The sequence below is a fragment of the Homo sapiens genome, chromosome 14 (assembly GCF_000001405.40).
Source record: "Homo sapiens chromosome 14, GRCh38.p14 Primary Assembly".
NCBI classification, from domain to species: domain Eukaryota; kingdom Metazoa; phylum Chordata; class Mammalia; order Primates; family Hominidae; genus Homo; species Homo sapiens.
Genome location: NC_000014.9, coordinates 84,238,472 through 84,257,301, shown reverse-complemented (window position 1 = coordinate 84,257,301; position 18,830 = coordinate 84,238,472). Strand labels below are relative to the sequence as shown.

General features: G+C 35.0%; 1 long non-coding RNA gene across 3 annotated transcripts in view; it reads left to right on the top strand.

The window, feature by feature from the left end:
- The window catches only part of LOC105370603 (uncharacterized), an 82,165-nt gene that overhangs the window by 41,715 nt on the left and 21,620 nt on the right, over positions 1 to 18,830 (top strand). Inside the window, exon 1 of one of the 3 annotated variants that reach the window (XR_944099.3) lies at positions 3,038 to 3,197. The exons of the other annotated variants lie outside the window; for them this stretch is intronic. This is a non-coding gene — a long non-coding RNA (uncharacterized LOC105370603). Of the gene's footprint in view, positions 1 to 3,037; positions 3,198 to 18,830 lie in introns of those variants that run through there. 3 annotated transcript variants of the gene reach the window in all.

Genomic DNA, 18,830 nt, shown 5'->3' with positions numbered 1-18,830 from the left:
ATGTTGAAAGATTCTATTTGCTAATATTGTTAATGGCCACATATTTTGTCTATATTTTTGAAATAACATAGATTTTTGCTTCTGTGTTATTGGTCTGTAGTTTTCTCGTGATGTCTTGATCTGACTTCGGTATCAGACTAATACCGATCTTCAAAAGTGAGTTGTAAAGTATTTCCTTCTCTGTTTTCTGAAATACTTTGTAAGGACTGATATTTCTTCTTTAAACATTTGTTAGGACCCTCTCCAGTGAAGCCATGTGGAATGGACCTGTTCTTTCTAGGAAGAGTTTTAATAACTAATTTATTTGTGTTACTTGTTATAACCCTACTCAGATTTTCTATTTCTTCTTTTATCAATTTTAGTAATTTGTATCTCTCTTTCAAAAAAGTTATTGATTTGGCTATGTTGTATAAGAAAGAAATTCAAGCCTCAGGAGGACAAGTCTGGGAATTAGGGCCCCAAGATAAGATCTGGCTTTTTCTTTGAGATTGTGTTGTTTGGTAAGACATTTCATTTCTGTGGGCTGCTAAACCTGTCACTTCGCCCTAGAAGGAATTGACAAGATAACCTTTGAGGGACCAACAATAGATTCTTTCACATTAGGCAGAGGAGAATATCCAGTTAAACAATCAGCCATTTATTTGTTCATTATTAGATGCTTTATTTTGAAAGTTCTCATTTTGTTTATGAGTGTTATTTGTTGCTGATGTTTTGTTTTTGTTCTGTTTTTTGATATTGTATATTCAAGGTTTGAAAATATTTACAATAACAGGCCTATTGTCCTATTGTTTCTAGAGCAGGAGGCATGAATAACTAGGGAAACTCATCTGAAAAGCAAATATAAAATTTCATGACATTTTACACTTTTTGGCAAGTCCTGGGATTGGAGAAACAGCAATTTGACAGTCATGGAAACTTTTTCTCTCATTACAAATCTACAGGTTTATATGATTTGTAAAAATAATCAACATCTTAGGAATCACTGCATCATTAATAACACTTTCTATAAAACATTACATTTACTTCCATTTATTCTAGATTTCTTAATGTAATAAAGTAGTATTCAGATATGAAATATGGCCTAACCCTGTGGCTTTCAAATATGTTTTTCTGTGACCCATAATAAGAAATGCATTTTATATCACAAGTTAGAACAGACATAATATCTCCTACTCCCCAGCCCCCAGGACACATAGTCATAGACATAAATATTTCCAAAGTAGTACTTGGAGAGTGTAAAAGTGCACTTCAAAATTGCTATTGTGTTTCACTTTATTTGGTTTCCTTCTTTTGTCAGGGTGGCAGAAGAGGATAACTCATTAAATGGATTTTATCACTCATTAATGGTCACTAACCACAGTTTGAAAAGTATTGGTCTAGTAAATGTAATTGGCATTTAACTAATGCACCCTGCAGAGCTCGAAAGCAGTCAATCTTCCAAAGGTGGTAGGCTCATATTATTTAGAGAGCTGTTCAGAGCAGACTAGTGGATAGATCATTAAAGAATGTCCTTTAATATGCAGAGAGAATTGGGAGATGCCATATTTGTTTGAGGAATTAATTTTATGTTTCAATACCACCACCACTTATCATACCTACTCTACCCATACTTTGTCCCTAATACAACAACTTATAAGGTAAAAGGATGTACAGACAGGTCGTTTTTGCAATCAGGGTAACCTGAATTTAACTCTAGGTCCCATTTAACAAAGGACCACAAACTGGGAGTTAAAATAACAGAATCTTATTGTTTCACATCTCTACGGGCTTTTAGTCAAAAATCAAGGTGTCTGCAGGGCCATGCCCCCTCTGAAATCTCTACGGCAATCGTTCCTGGCCTCTTCCTGGCTCTGCTGGTTTGCTGGCCATCTTTGCAGGCTTTGGCTTGCAGCTGTATAACTCCAATCTGTTTCATCATCATTACACAGTGTTTTTCCTGTGTGTTTCTGGCTTTATGTGGCTCCATTTTCCTATGCACCCCAATTATATTGGATTAGCTGCCCCCCTTACTCCAGTATGACCTCATCTTGACTAGTTGCATCTACAACAACTCTACTTCAAAAGAAGGTTGCATTCGGAGGTACTGGAGGTTACCACTTCATCATATCATTTTGGGGGAGACACAATTCAACCCAAAACACTAGGAATCTCATTTCTGCACACATTGTTTCCTCTCAGGTTTTATCTGTGTTAGCAGATATGAGTCTACTCTCAGAAGATTTAGAGAGAGGACTATTGATGAAATTAGTGATACCAGATGAAAGGGAAAAAAATGTTGATTTCAAGTAGGGAAACTTCAGAAGGAAAATAATTTAATTGCAATTCCACCTAAGGCTGTGTCCCATTGTATCACCCAGAATCCTCTCAAGCACCACTCTTGACAGACAGGATCTCATTTCCTTTCAACTCCAAACTTTTGACACGGACTCTGGGATTTTTCTCTCTCCTCTTCTTTGGCCTGGAAATAATCCTAAATTCCTAAAGTCATCAATTCCAGTGTAACAACTCTAGTTGGGTTCACTGTTATTTCGTTGTTATTTGCAAGAATGCTGAGCTTTGGATTAAAAGAGAAAAAAAGAAAGAAATCCATCGGCGGCTGACTGGCTTTCTCCTGCAGAACCAGAGGCCGGAAAATAAATGTTTGCACCTTTAATGACCTCCATTGTCCTGACTTCACAGAATCCCCAGGGGCAGCTAATCCCCTGGAACAATACAGTACAGATGTTTCACACGATAAGAGGGCTAATTCCAGACCAATCAGAGTCACTCCAAATGTCAGCATTCCAAAATAAAGTTAAAATATGGGGCAAACAGATGCAACCTCTACAGTCGGAGCTCTTTGTCAGTGATCTCTGCTTTGTTTAAGGCCATGGCCACTTTCTCCTTAGTGAGAGCTGAGCTGTGCAGGGTGTTCTGCTGTATTTGCTGTATTCACTACTTTTATAAGTTCCCTTCCAGATAAATATTGCTCAACATTTTCCGGACTTTTACACCCTCCTCTGTCTCTGTGAAAATTACCAGTAGGCAAAGCAGTTAGGAATCATGGTTTTTAAATCTGAATGATAAAAATTTAAGTCGTGTTCAATGATTCAAAGTTTTGATGGAGGCAGAGAAAAAGTTCCCCAAATCTCCACTCTGACATGAAGAATTCCTTTGCTTAAATGAAAAATGTTAAGAAATTTGCTGGAGTTACCCAGGTACATGCTGTAAACTTTTTTTATTTTTGTGTTTGATATAAAAGTAATTCTAATATTACTACTAACTTCATGTTTATGAGTTAATAGTATAAGTGAATTTGATATTAATAATAAAGTATAATACACTTAATTCTTACCTATATTTTATTTTATAATTTACTATTTCATCTATAGATTATATTTTGTAATTTTTTTACTTTAAGAATCACACAGACTTAACTGTTTTTCCATAAAAGATAGATTATATTCAATGTACAAGTCAATGAAAAAATTTTCTCAACATATAAAACATTAAAATGTGAAGAATCAAATATTAAGGTTCAGAAAATGTGGAAATTCTAAGTCCTATATAAAACTATCTACATTGTAGAGATCCAGAGATGCTTTTGATTAAAAAAAAAAAAGACTTTATGCTTTTGGGATTCTTTTAGAATTTGATTTATTTTTTAACCATTTTAGACCCATGGTTAAAAAATTATTATTTGAGTATAAGACAGTAAAACGATTCCTAAGATTCATGAGAGGGTCTATTTTTTTTCTCTGTGTAAATCTAGCTTGGCTTTAAACATTGTGACTCATCCCTCTGCCATCTATAAGTGATGAGAGTCATTCCATAGATTTTCAAGCATTGGAGCCAACGGAGTTGCTAAAATAAAATAATTGAAAGGATCAATTTATGACAATAAGTTATCTAGTGTATTTCATTGGAAAAAAATTGTGCCCTATGACAAGCTTCCAGGTTTAAAATAAGGCAAACAATATAATCTGGTGTCTATTTGGAGGAGGGGATCCAAAATAATTCTGCACCAGAGTTACATTTTCATATTATTTTGTTGAAACAAACTGCAAGCCTATTGTCATAGTTGAGATTCCACTTCACAAGGTTAGCTTTTCCCTTTTAGTTCTTTCTTGGCCTTATCAGCATAATCTCTTGTCTTCTCAAAGAATACCAGCTAAAATGAGGTTTTATGCTTATTTGCTTTACTTTTTAAATGTCCTTGTTTTCCTTTTGCTTGTTGAATTTTAAAATTATGAATCTATTTGGTTACAAAAAAAAAACAAAAAAGATGTGTATCTGTTTAGATTGATCGCCCATAATTCTTCTGGACAATAATCTGTATCTACCTAGGAGTTCGGTCATTTCTAGGTCACCATCATCAGCTGCTGATCAACACAATTGTTTGGCCAAATGGGGAATCTTATCTGAGTCACTGAAAGAACAAGAGAAAAACATAAAAAGAGAGGATATTAGTTCCCCCCTCCCCTGTTTGTCTCTTTTCCTGTTCCTATCTCTCCCTGTCATTTTTTATGTCCCCATTGTCTATCTTGTTTCCTTTTTTCATTATTATTGTTAATTCATAATCCTTTCTTTTGATTTTTTGAATACCTCTGTTGTAAAAGTTATTTCATAGTAAAGCTAGATTTCAGAGCAGACCAACAGAAAGATTTTTCTGTTAAATTAGCCCAATTACTTATCCACTTATCATCATCATATATCATCTTTTCCCTAAATTCTCTCTTTCTCTCTCCGTATTACTATTATTTTTTTTAGAGACAGGGTCTCATTCTGTCTGTAACTCAGGCTGGAATGCAGTGGTGTGATTATAGCTGCCTGCAACTTCAAACACCTGGGCTCAAGTGATTGTCCTAGCTCAGTCTCTCAAGTAGCGAGGACTAAAGGTGCACATTGCCATGTTCAGCAATTTTTTGTAGACGTGGGGTCTCTTTATGTTGTCCAGGCTGGTCTCAAATTCCTGGTCTCAAGTGATCTTCCTGCTTCATTGGGATTACAGGTGTGAACCAGTATGTCTGGCCAAATTCTCAGTTTTAAAGTAGTTTTCTTGTTGTGTTTCTCTGCTTATCTGTTTTCACTCCACTTCTTGAAAAATAATATCAGGATATAATTGGAAATTTGTGAATCTGAACTACTGTTCAGCCTTGCCAGCAGAGCTATAACTAACCCATTGGCATGTTTGTTTGTTTGCTGGTTATTTGTTTTCACTATTTTCTCAAAGCAGCCTGTACCCAGGAGTTGAGTAGTTAGTAGCCCTAAACATTTACAAGATGGTTGTTCAGTGAACATGTTTGTTTGAGAGGATAATCCATGTAGTATGTTTCTTCAAGGAGAGGCCAAAGTCTTTCCAACTCAGTTCATGATAAATTTATGTCTTGACAGCTGAGAATGGAGTTTTAGTATTTAAGCCAACAGAGTTGATTTTTAAAATGTTCATTTAAACAGCTCACATAGAAATAATGATGTGGTCTTTGTACTTGAAAAGACCCTTATGGAACATGAATAATAATTTTAAAGACTGCATTTGGCTGCTGACTTGGTTGATTAGTGTTCCCATAAAAACCTTAATTCCAATGTGTGAAAAAAAATACTGTGTGAATATGTAAGCCAAATTGATACTAACTATAAGACAACAGGCAAAAAGCCATGGAAGTTCAGGACCTTTGCAGAAGAAGAAAATACTATTTATAAATGACTAAATCTGTGGGGATAAGGATGGGAAGAAAACGCAGTGTTTGGCATCAACTGGTCATATGAAAAAGATGGCTAATTTAGCATTCTACAAAGTATTTCTTAGAAGCAAAACCCTGGAGATCTATTAGATCCACTGAAAATGCATGGTTTGTCATCATTAATACAACATTAATAAGTGAATTGAATAAATATTACTTCTATCAAATTAAATTCATGAGAATAATATTGAGCCTTTTTTGCTTTTCTATTTGATCAAATCTCTTCTTCTAAAATATGCTTTGTTTAATCTGTTCTGAAAAGTGTTATCATGGACTTCTTGGACTATTTTATAATTTGGTTCTTTAAAGTGTTAAGCTAATAAGAAAACTATGCATGAAGATCATTATCTGAACATTTGTTGGATCATTTATCACAGAGAAGAAATTTTTAAATATTCTGGGACATTTTTGTCTGGAGCCATAAGTTGAAAGAGAAAACTTATGTAAAACAATAAGATTTTTTCTGGTCACGTGCCATATTTCCTGATCCATTGTGTTTGGCACCAGGAAACAACTTGGCATGAGCCAGTAAGAAATCCATCAGCAACTGTGTCAACTTTATCACTTCCTGAGCTCATGCTTGCAGGAAGTGGATACAAAAACAATGATTTTAAAAAAGCAAAATGTCTCTTTGCTATTTGAAAAATAAAAAAATACACATTTAACACTTACTTGCCATCTACCTAGAGTAAATAAACTAGATATTTCTCCTAACAATAGACAATGAATATATTATAATGCATCACATGAGCCTTCATTTCTGAAATAAAATTAAAAATGCATTTCCTTTTTTAAATTTGTTTGTTGTGCTTTTTAAAAACTGAAACAGACCATATGAATTTAAGTGTGTGTTTAAGAGATAGGAAAAAAGGATGATGAATGTAATGTCAAATTCAGAAACATTACAAGATGCTACTTGCAGAGAAAAATAGTTATTTTACTCCAAATGACTAAGAAGATTCACAGAGCAGTATGTCAGAAACACTTCACTGGGGCTTTTAAACGAAATGAAAATACACAAAATGTTTCCCAATGCTATGTTTGGATAAGAAAACATAATAATTAAAAGGCACAAAATCTGTTTACGTGGTACCTTGATCTTTCATGCCATGGACTGTGAAACAAACCCGTTCTTAGCCCCATTCCCTCTGGATCCAGTTTGGCTACTGGCACTCACCTGATATGTACCTGATGTTTGCAGCTGAGATAAAAATAAGTGATCATTGCTAAATATGTATTCCCTAGAAAATACACTTGGATTTTTAATAGAGTTTTATTGCCTCTCCTACTACCAGAATTCCTTCCTAAGAACTCTGCCTCCAAACCTGATTAACTCCTACATGATCTATTAAATGTAAATAGTCTTTGGATGAAATTGTCCATCAGAATGACCTAAATATTCAGGCAGGCAGGCAGACAGAATCCAAAAAGTGAAAAAAATAAGACTTTTTTTTTCTATTAATGCTTCTGTCTCCTAAAATATATAATTAGGTCATATTTATATTAGACTTACAAAGTGGGAAACAAAGATTCTAGGTGAAGCCTATACTCATATGCCTAGGTTATTAATATCTCAAGAATACCTTCTATTTCTATAGTTTCTAAAAATTCTTTAATAGATAATTGTATTTTTGGACATTGGAATTCTTATTTCCTAATTAAGAATACTGAATCCAGTGACACAATTAGTTCATCCATGTCACACAGACAGTAAGTACAAAGCCTAGGCCAGAAATCATGTCTCTTGATTCTAGCATGCTTTTCCGTATAGCATTTCCATTTTCTTTGTCACCAAAGATTGCCTCAAAGAAAGACAGCCAGGTTAAAATTTACACAGAAGCATGCTTCATTAATACATTGAATGCTAGTACATAGGTCTTGAAAAGTGACTATCTGTATTGAAAATTTGGAATATTTATCCACGTAAAATTAAATATAAAGCTGATGACAGCAATTTGTTCAACACATCATATTTTTTTAAGGTAACATTAGCTGTTGAAACAAACATTCCAACTTTCAATAGCTTAAGTGTACTTTTTCCTCAGGTCACAGTACCATAGGTGATTCTCCTTGGTGAGTGGTCCTTTCATATGACAATTCAAGACTCAACCTCCTCTCACATGGCTCTGATTTATTCTAAAGCTTTGAAGACTTATGCTCAGGGAAAGAGTGTAGGAAAATAATAACTGCCCCTCAACCAACCAAGAAGATAACATTTATTCTTAGAACCAATGTCAGTATTAGTTGATGCCTTTATCTAGCAATCAAATAGCTAATGGCTTTTATGTGAACAAAATATACTAAATATACATAAATATACTAATCCATAATGGCAGATCCTTGAGGTCAAGGGCTTTGTGTTTTGTTCACCTCTGTTATCAATCTTACTGTTGCAATTTTCTTCTCTCTATATATCCTTTTATCCAGTCAAGACCTTTTGGCCATCCTGCCTCACATAAGGGAGGGGAGAGAGAGCTTAAATACAAAAACAAAAACAAAAACAAAACAAACAAACAAAAAACCAAAACTTGTAAAGACCGTGGCCTAGAAACACAAGCCAACTAAAGGAATGAAATTAATAATAAATTTCTCTCCCTCATACCTTATCACCACTATACCAAAAAGGACCTAATATAATGATAATGGAATATAGCTGAAATACCTTCAAGATTATAGGAAGGTGTGCTAAAGGAAGTCCAAAATTGATAGAGGAGAAAACACAAAAACACAAAATAAATTTAAAACTTCTAGCACCTGAAGCTACAGCTAACATTAAAGATAGCCCAACTGCTAGCCAGATTAGAGTAAACTCTATCAATAAAGGATTAATTATCTAAATCTAAGTTCCTATTATCTGAAATAATATGCCTAGTTCTTAAATGAACAAACAAATAAATAAAAATAAGGAATTTGAGTGAGGCAAGCCAAAATATACTCTACATAACCAAAGAAGGAACCAAATTTGACTCAAATATGATATGGATGTTGGAATTATCAGGAAAAGAATGTAAAATAACTATGATTAATATGTTAAATAAACTTTGAAACAGAAATGAGGAATGCCCTTGATAGGCTCATTGATAGACTCAATATGGCCAAGAAAAGAATCAGTAAGCTTGAAGAAATGTCAATAGAAACTTACAAAACTTATATGCAATGAGATTAAAAAAAACACTAAACTAAAAAACAATATATCCAAGAACTGTGAGACTGTGGGACATTTCAAAAGGTGTAATAAATACATTATTAAAACACCAGAAGAACAGATAAAAGAGACAAAGAAATGTTAGAAGTAACATTATTCAAGCACTTTCCAAAATTAATGACAGACACTAAACAACAGATTGGGGAAGCTCAGAGAGTACAAGGCAGGATGATTACCAAAAAACTGCACCTAGGCATATCATATTCAAACTGCAGAAAACCAAGGACAAACAGAACGCCTGAAAGAAAAACAGAGGAGGTGAAAAATGTACGCTTCACCTTTACAGGAGCAAAGATGAGAATTATATTAGATGTCTCGGAAACTTCAGAAGTGAGGAGAAAATAAAGTGAAATATTTAAAGTATTGGAGGAAAATATTCAACAACCTAGAATATGATATCCAGTGAAATTATATTTCAAAAGTACAAGAGAAATAAATACAATCTCAGACAAGCAAAAAGTAATAGGAATGCTTAGCTAGCAAATTTGCACTTCAAAAGTGGTTAAAAGAAGTGATTCAGGGAGAAAGAAAGTGATTCATAGTAGACACTCAGATCTACATAAAAAGAAAAGAGGGTTGGAGAAAAAATACATGATGATAAAATATAAGTAGAAGAACAGTGCTTATAACACCAATAATTTGTTTCATAGGGATGCTATGATCAAGTTGATTCCTTCATACATTGTTGACAAAATTGTGTAATTCTTTTAAGTAACCATGAGGCTAAATAAGTTTCCAGTTCTTTATAAGTCCATTTGCCTCAGTAATTATTTTTCTGAAACTTCTCTAAGAAATGATCCAATATATGAAGCTATGATGGGGTGAGGAGTCTGTGTGTGGATGTTTCCAACAGCATTATTTATAATACAAAAAAAAATGGAAAAAATAAAATACAGGCTAAACAACTGCTGATCCACTGGAATGTTCCAGATCTACAAAAATAAAAACATATCAGATATCCCAGCATAATGTAAAAGTGATTGTACAAAGAAGAATGAAAGGATTATGGGTGATTATATTTTTTGTCTTTCATTTTTTAAGTTATCCAGTACTTTTCTAAGTTGAAATATAAACTTATAATAAAATATTAGTTGCTTTTCAGAATCTTTGCGAATATCCTGATGCAGTTTGTAGAGTCTACAAAGTTGAATATGGCAGGGGATCTCTATTAACTCTAAAATTTCACAGACAGTAGCTGATATGTCCATATATAGGTGTGACCTACTAAACAGGTTTGCCTGTCAGATTTTAGAAGAATTTTCTGGAAGCAAAGAGGCAAAAAATTGTGAGAAGGGAATGCTTTGGTGAATGTTATGATTCGCCAGGACTTCATTTTAGCCAGGAAAAAATACATTTCCTCATTTTTCCTCCTAACATAGAATATCATGGTACATTGACTTTTGGGTATGCTAATATTTTCATCCATTGTGTTTTACAACCACAAAATGAGATACAGTAGAAGCAAGAATATGGACTTTAAAATAATAAAATTCTGCATTAAAGTATTGGTTCCACCTATGACCAGTGTGCAAGTTGAGACAAGGCATTAACATTTTCTTTGTCTGAGTTTCCTCATCTCAAAAACAGAAATGATGTACACTGGGCAAGATTTACTGTGAAAAAGAAAAAAATATGAGTATATGGGTAAGTGTTTGACATATAGTAGATACTCAGAATCTAAATTACTACTTCCGCACTATCAGCTACTCTCTAACCATGGACAAACTACATTATATTGTCCTTAGCTTAGTGACCACATCATATATAGTAACACAGAGTGTAATTGTTTGTATTCCTTGCATCATCTATCGTGTTGTCTTGAGCATCATATATGCTGTCTCTACAAACATTTGTAGATGGATTTACTGATTGGAAAATGCCTTTATGATTGAAAAGGGTTCTGTAAATCCAAAACGTTTTATTTCTCTTTTTCTTCTTTAAAGTGTTATTTATACTAATTAAAATTCTATTAATCGACACATTCCATCTAACAGACTGGTTGGTAGTTTCTTTTGTTTAATCAGACTAATTAAAGAGGATGAAATTAATGTTGTCTTTCTATTCAATGCAGATATCTTTACCAGATATACAAATAAATGATGAGTATGTGCATTAAAGGAATGAAAACAGTAAAAAATGTTGATTTTAAGAAAAGTCACCATCATCTCACTGTCTTTCAAGGTTGTACAAATATACAGTAGGGATGTTTTAGGGGGAACTGCTGTTGATTTTAAGATTTATGTTTTTAAATGTGTTTTGTATCACCAGGGGATTTTACCTCCATAATAACTAGGCAAAGAATCACAATTACATTTATCTGAGAATGAATATATATGTGTCATTACTTGGGTAGAAATTTGCCTCTGTGATAGCAGCTCACTGAGGTGATTGATAGTCATCATCTTCAGCCCACTGTGAATGGATAGCTTTTCGTAAAGAAATGACTTCTGCAGTAAGACTGCCCTGTCTATGAAGTCATTCAGTGACTTGTCCCAAGGAGGACTGGTTCAGCAACACATCTACACAGACTTTGGCTGTGGCTGGAATTTTGGCTCATTGGCTGTCATTATTGTGACAGCTATTTATCATAGAAAGAAGCCATATGTGAGGTTATCTTCTTCCAAAGGTATATGAATGTTATAAAAATCAAGCAGAACAGCAGGTCCCACTTTTCCATGCCCCCACACAGCATCTCCCACATCTCATCAAGTTAACTACTGAATTGCTTTGAAAGAAAGTGATAGAGAATAAAAAACAGTTACTCTAACCACGACTTATATGAATTTTATATTTATTTGGGATTTAATGTTAATGATGTTGTTGAAAAAATTCAATTACATTTTGGTTGTATTACTAATTACTACTTATAAATAATTATTTAACAACAGTTGACAAATTAAATTTATCCAGATTATCATGATTATATACTCTTTATTAAAATATTTTCTTCGTCAAGCATTCTTCTGAATTTATGCACGTAAAATCACACACTAATGGATTAAATGTTATTGTCCAATCAAAATTGAATGTCAGAATCTGAGAACAACTCAAAACATATTTCTTGAACATCAGCTATATGGAAGATATTGTGTTTAATTTTCTGGGAGATGTAATTATGAATAAGTCAAGATACCTGCTCTCAAAGAATTCATAATTTTGATAGTATGCAGACATTTAAAAATTTTTTGTGACTACAATATTCATATTATATAATGGGAATAAAAATGTACATTTATTGAGCATTTTATATGTGACAAGTCCCAACTTTTAAAGACAGGATGATATGATGTATAGTAGCTTGTGGTCATTGAAGCCAGGTATTCTAGTTTAAATCCTTATTTTGGCATTAAGTACTGATGGGAGACTGGAAAATGTTGGTTACATTTCCTGAGCTGCATTTGCAAAAATATGTAATCTAAAAAATGGCTTTTATTGTTGTTTTAGGCCTGGAGATAATGTAAAGCAACTGTAACATAATGGTGTATAATATAAATGGTTGTTATTTTTATATTATTATACGACTGCTCAGTGTCATTTAATTCTCAACAAAATTAGAACATATGGGCATTATTTCCATTAAACAGAGAAAGAAACTAAGGCAGAATAAATTTAAATAACCTTTCCAATTGATACGGTTTCGCTCTGTGTCCCCACACAAATCTCACCTTGAATTGTAATCCCCATAATTCTCAAGGGTCAAGGGGAGGACCAGGTGGAGGTAATTGAGTCTTGGGGGCAATTTCCACCATGATCTTCACATAATAATGAGTGAGTCGCATGAGATCTGATGGTTGTATAAGCATCTGGCATTTCCCCTGCTTGCACTCTTTCTCTCTGCTGCCACCCTGTGAAGAGGTGCCTTCTGCCATGATTGTAAGTTTCCTGATGCCTCCCCAGCCATGCGGAATTGTGAGTCAATTAAAACTCTTTTCTTTATAAATTGCCCAGTCTTGAGTATTTCTTCATAGTAGCATGAGAACTGACTAATATGGTAAATTGGTTCCACAGATGGTAGGGTGCTGCTTTTTTACCCCAAAATGTGGAAGCTACTTTGGAACTTGGGAACAGGCAGAGGTTGGAACAGTTTGGAGGGCCCAGAAGAAGACAGGAAGATATGGGAAAGTTTGGAACTTCCTAGATACTTGTTGAATGGCTTTGATCTAATGCTGATGGTGATATGAACAATGAAATCCAGGCTGAGGTGTTCTCAGATAGAGATGAGGAATGGATGGAAACTGGAATAAAAGTGACTCTTGCTATGCTTTAGCATAGAGACTGGTGGTGTTTTGCCCTTGCCCTAGAGATCTGTGGGACTTGGAACTTGAGAGAGATGATCTGAATTTATATCTTATGTTTAAAAAGGAAGCAGAGCATAAAAGTTTGGAAAATTTGTAGCCTGACACTATAAAAAAGAAAAGCCCATTTTCTTCAGAGAAACTCAGGCTGGCTGCAGAAATTTGCACAGGTAATGAGGGGCTAAATGTTAATCACCAAGACAATGGGGAAAATATCTCCAGGGCATGTCAGAAGACTTCATGGCAGACTCTCCCATCACAGGCCTTGTGGCCTAAGAGGAAAAAATGGTTTTGTGGGCCAGGCCTAGCCTTGCAGCTTTGTGCATTTTGAGGCTTGGTGCCTTGTGTTCCAGCCCAGACCAAAAGGGGCCAATGTACAACTCAGGCTATTGCTTCAGAGGGTTCAAGCCTGAAGACTTGGCAGCTTACATGTGGTTTTGAGCCTGTAGGTTCACAGAAGTCAAGAATTGACTTTTGGGAACCTCTACCTAGCTTTCAGAGGATGTATGGAAATGTCTGGATGTCCAGGCAGAAGTTTGCTGCAGGGGTGGAACCTTCATGGAGAACCTCTGCTAAGGCAATGCAGAAGGGAAATATGGGATCAGAACCACCACACAGAGTTCCCAATGGGGCACTGCCTAGTGAGAAGAGGTGAGAAGAGGACCACCATCTTCCAGACCCCAGAATTTTAGATCCACTGACAGTTTGCACTGTGCACCTGGAAAAGCTGCAGACACTCAATGCCAGCCATGAAAGCAGCTGGGAGGGAGGCTATAACCTGCAAAGCCAAGGATCAGAGCTGTCTAACACCATGGGAGCCCATCTCTTGCATCAGTGTGACCTTGATGTGAGACATGGAGTCAAAGGAGATCATTGTGAAACTTTAATGTCTAATAGCTACCCTATTGGATTTCACACTTGCATGGTGCTTCTAGCTCCTTTGTTTGGTCCAATTTCTCCCATTTGGAATGGGTGTATTTACCCAATGCCTATATATGCATTGTATCTAGACGTGACTAACATTCTTTTGATTTTACATGTTCATAGATGGAAGGGATTTGCCTTGTCTCAGATGAGACTTTGAACTTGAACTTTCAGGTTAGTGCTGGACTGAGTTAAGATTTTGGGGGACTGTTGGAAAGGCATGATTGTGTTTTGAAAAGTGAGAACGTAAGATTTGGGAGGGGTTGGGGCAGAATGATATGGTTTGGCTGTGTCCCCAAACAAATCTCACCTTGAATTGTAGTTCCCATAATCCCCATGTGTCATGGGAGGGACCCAATAGGAGATAATAGAATTATGGGGGTGGTTACCCCCATGCTGCTATTCTCATGATAGTGAGTGAGTTTTCACGAGATCTGATGGTTTTGTAAGGGGCTTTGCCCGCTTTGCTCAGCACTTCTGCTTCCTGTTACCATGTGAAGAAGGACATGTTTGTTTCCCATTTCACCATGATTGTAAGTTTCCTGAGGCCTCCCAAGCCATGCTGAACTCTGAGTCAATTAAAACTGTTTTCTTTATAAATTACCCATCCTCAGATATTTCTTCATAGCAGTGTGAGAATAGACTAATACAGCAATTTATGAAAATGATAAGAGAAACTTTTTTAATTTTCATTTTTCTCACTTTAAACCCAATTATCTGTTCATTACACATTGGCCTAAAAGCAATGCACTCTGGAGGTGGCTTGTCTGAGTGTCACAACTAAACTAAAATGATTAAGGTTTAGCAATTAGAACAGAAGAGATTATCGTTCCCATCGAAACAGTACCAGTGACCAACAGTGTGCAAAGTGGTGTTCAGATCTCAAAGACTTAGACAGGTGCTGAAGATGAGACTGGGGGGACTGGTCCACATAATGGAATGGGCCACAGTGATGAGGCTTTTAGGAAGATCTGGGTGTCAGTTGTGCCTGAAGTCATGGTTCTGCATTAAAGCGAGGATTGCTGGGATAGAATACAGCTTCAAAAAAAAAAAGCACACTGTATGTATGTTTGTAGGTATATTTGGTGGATGAAGATCGTCATCCTACTTGACCACACACTTAAATGTAAATAGATTAAAACTACAAAATATGGACAGGAGGAAACAAGCTTCAGCAGAAGTTTAAAAAATGCAGATGACATTAAGGTCAGAGTAGTTAAATAAATATGTGAAGAAGACTGACATAAGACAAGGAATGGAAAGACTATGCCCTACCTAAAGACATTCAAAGTTTAAAATTAAGGGGATCATAAACCTAATAATGTACAGGGCCATTGAAATTAAGTAGATCAGCCTGCCAGTTCTGCCCTCTGGCTCACAGGACATAAATCCTGGTTAAAGTGTAGATAGAGAGGAGTGAGAAGAAATATACACAACATTGTATCTCAGAAGGTATAGAGTGGCGACAGCAGGCTTCTTCTCTTAAAGTTAGTATTCCCAGTGTATGATAGGTTTTATTTTAAATAGTTCAGTGTCTGGTACAAAGGGTAAGGGGTGTGTATATGTATGTGTGTGTGTGTGTGTGTGTGTGTGTGTGTGTGTGTATGTATGGGTAGACCAGGGAAGTAACCTAAAATCACTGACTCCTATCACCTACAATTGAGTCAAACAAGGGAAGGCAGAACAAACCTAGAGATAAGAGCTGGAATGGTGACTCATATCTACCTATGTGCAGCACTAGTATATTGGAAAACACTAGGTACTATATATTTTATGTATCACATATATATTTTTATATATAAATATGTGTACACAAATATATATACATATATACTTTATATACATAGTATATGCAAATGTATTATATAAATTATATATATTAAATATATCATGTATGTAGTTCTATGTGATTATATATGTGTATATTGTGTTATGTGATATGTGTGATATGTCGTGTGATTATATGTGATTATATATGTGTATATAATATATATGTATACACATATATTATCACATATAACCAAGTTTGATGAGTGGTGTTTGGTAGGTGCTATCTCCTACAGCTGATAGGTGGTTTTTGGTAGGTGCTATCTCCTATGGCTGTATTTTTTTTTAACCAAATAAAATTAAAAGTGGAAGAATGTTGAAGGGGATAATGGTAACATTAAATCAACAAATAAGAAATGGGAAATGTGATGAATTCCAGAAGCTATGTACACAAAAATCAGATTTGTTATTTTAAAAACCATCTCACAAAATTCATTGTGTACATTCAATGCAGTTTAAATATATGAATTATAGAAATTTAAAAATATGTTAAATTATTTCTAAAAAACATACTATAGGCATTGTTGAGTACATAGGCATACAAAAGAATGTAGACAGATTATGTATATTTCCTTAATTGTGAAATTTGGGGAGATAATTGGATAGGACCAAACAAACTGGATTCAGCATTTATTTTAATAAATTTCAATGTGTTAGGATATTCTGGAAGCATTAATTTTCATATTTCTGCTTTGTGACTTATATAAGTACCTTTGTAATTTAAAGGATTTAGAATATTACTTTTTTTTATAATTCTGGCATTCGTCAAAGATTTAATTGATGATTAATTTATATACCTGTATTGGCTAAATGTTTCATGTTGGTAACAGTGGGACTTAGAGCAACTGCTTGCTTCACTAAGTTTTTTTTTTTTTTTCTGAAATGGACTCTTGCTCTGTCATCCAGGCTGTAGTGCAGTGGTGTGATGCTGGCTCACTGCAGTCTGTGCCTCCCAGATTCAAGTGATTCTCCTGCCTTAACCTCCTAAGTAGCTAAGCAGCGGGGATTACAGGCATGTGCCACCACATCCAGCTAATTTTTGTAATTTTAGAAAAGACGAGGTTTCACCATGTAGGCCAAGCTGGTCTTGAACTCCTGACATCAAGTGATCTGCTGGACTTGGCATCCCAAAGTGCTGGGATTACAAGAATGAGTCATCACATCCGATTCACTAAGTGATTTTACTGGATCATGAACAGACCAATGGTACATAACAAAGAGTCCAGATATGGATCCAAGTGTATATGTCAATTTAAGATATTTTAAAATTAGAATCTCAAACCAAAGGGTAGTATTGGGCTAATTTTTTAGTATATAAATGGTGTATTAGTCCATTTTCATGCTGCTCTAAAGAACTGCCCAAGACTGGTTAATTTATAAGAGAAAGATGTTTAATTGACTCACAGTTCAGCCTGGGGAGGCCACAGGAAACTTAGAATCATGGTGGAAGGGGAAGCAAACACGTCCTTCTTCACATGATAGCGGGAAGGAGAAGTGTTGAGCAAAGGGGAAAAGCCCTTATAAAACCATCAGATCTCCTGAGAACTCACTCACTATCACAAGAACAGCAGCATGGGGGTAACCACTCCCATGACTTAATTACCTCCCACGGGTCCCTCCCATGACATGTGGGGATTATGGGAACTACGTTTTCAAATCATATTTGGGTGGGGACACAACCAAACCATATTAAGTGGTGTCCAAATATTAACTTGAAAAATGATAAAACTAGGTTCAAATTTCAAATAACGTGTCAGGATAAATTCCAATGTATCAGATATCTGACAATAAAAACAAATGAACAAAAACCTCAAATAAATAGTCAAAGAAAGCATGCTATACTCTTTTGTAACATAGGAGTGAGGTATTTCCTAATTGTGACTCAAAGCAACAACTACAAAATTTGATACAGTTTACTATACAAAGATAATAAAACATTATTTTTCATACAGAAGTTTACTATAGGCAAAGAAAAAAATCAACTACACTCAAAAATGTTCAACAAATGAAATATGATCTGGTAGAAGAAATGAAAATATTTGGATTCAGAGAGCTATTGCCTCTTTTGTCTTTAAAATGTGACTAGTCCTCTTTGGTTATTTCAAGGTTAAGAAAAACTCAGTGAAAGAGTTAATAGAAAACATTTTTTTTTTTTTAATTTTCTGCTCTGCCAATTCAACAATTAGTTTTCCAGAAGCAGAATCACCCTCTAATTTGGTCAATGTTTATCATTTTAATCAACTAAAAATCACTAATTTTAAAATAATTATAATAAACCAGGCGTGGTGGCTCGTGCCTGTAATCCCAGCACTTTGGGATCCTCCCAGCAGGAGGATCACAAGGTCAGGAGATCAAGATCATCCTGGCCAACATGGTGAAACCCCTCTCTACAAAAAATGCAAAAAAAAATTAGCTGAGCATGGTGGCACACACCTACAGTCCCAGCTACTCGGGAGGCTGAGTCAGGAGAATCACTTGAACCCGGGAGGCGGAGGTTGCAGTGAGCCGAGATCGTGCCACTGCACTCTAGCCTGGCAATAAAGCGAGACTCTGTCTCAAAAAAGTAATAAAATAAAATAAAATAAAATAATAATAATATAAATTTAGTTACTTAAATGTACTAAACTACAAACAGCAGCAAAAATGTGAGTAGAAACCTCATGAAGGAAGATAGTAGTTTCCATAATACCAATGTAATATTTTACCACCTCTTTAAAAAGCAAGAATTTTAATGCCTTTCTAACATTTAGATCTAAAATGTAATCCTTGAAATAGGATGATATTGTTATGAAGCCAGTCAGAAATCCCAAAGAAGGAAGAAGTAATGCAATATATACAATATGCCTTGCAAAATTA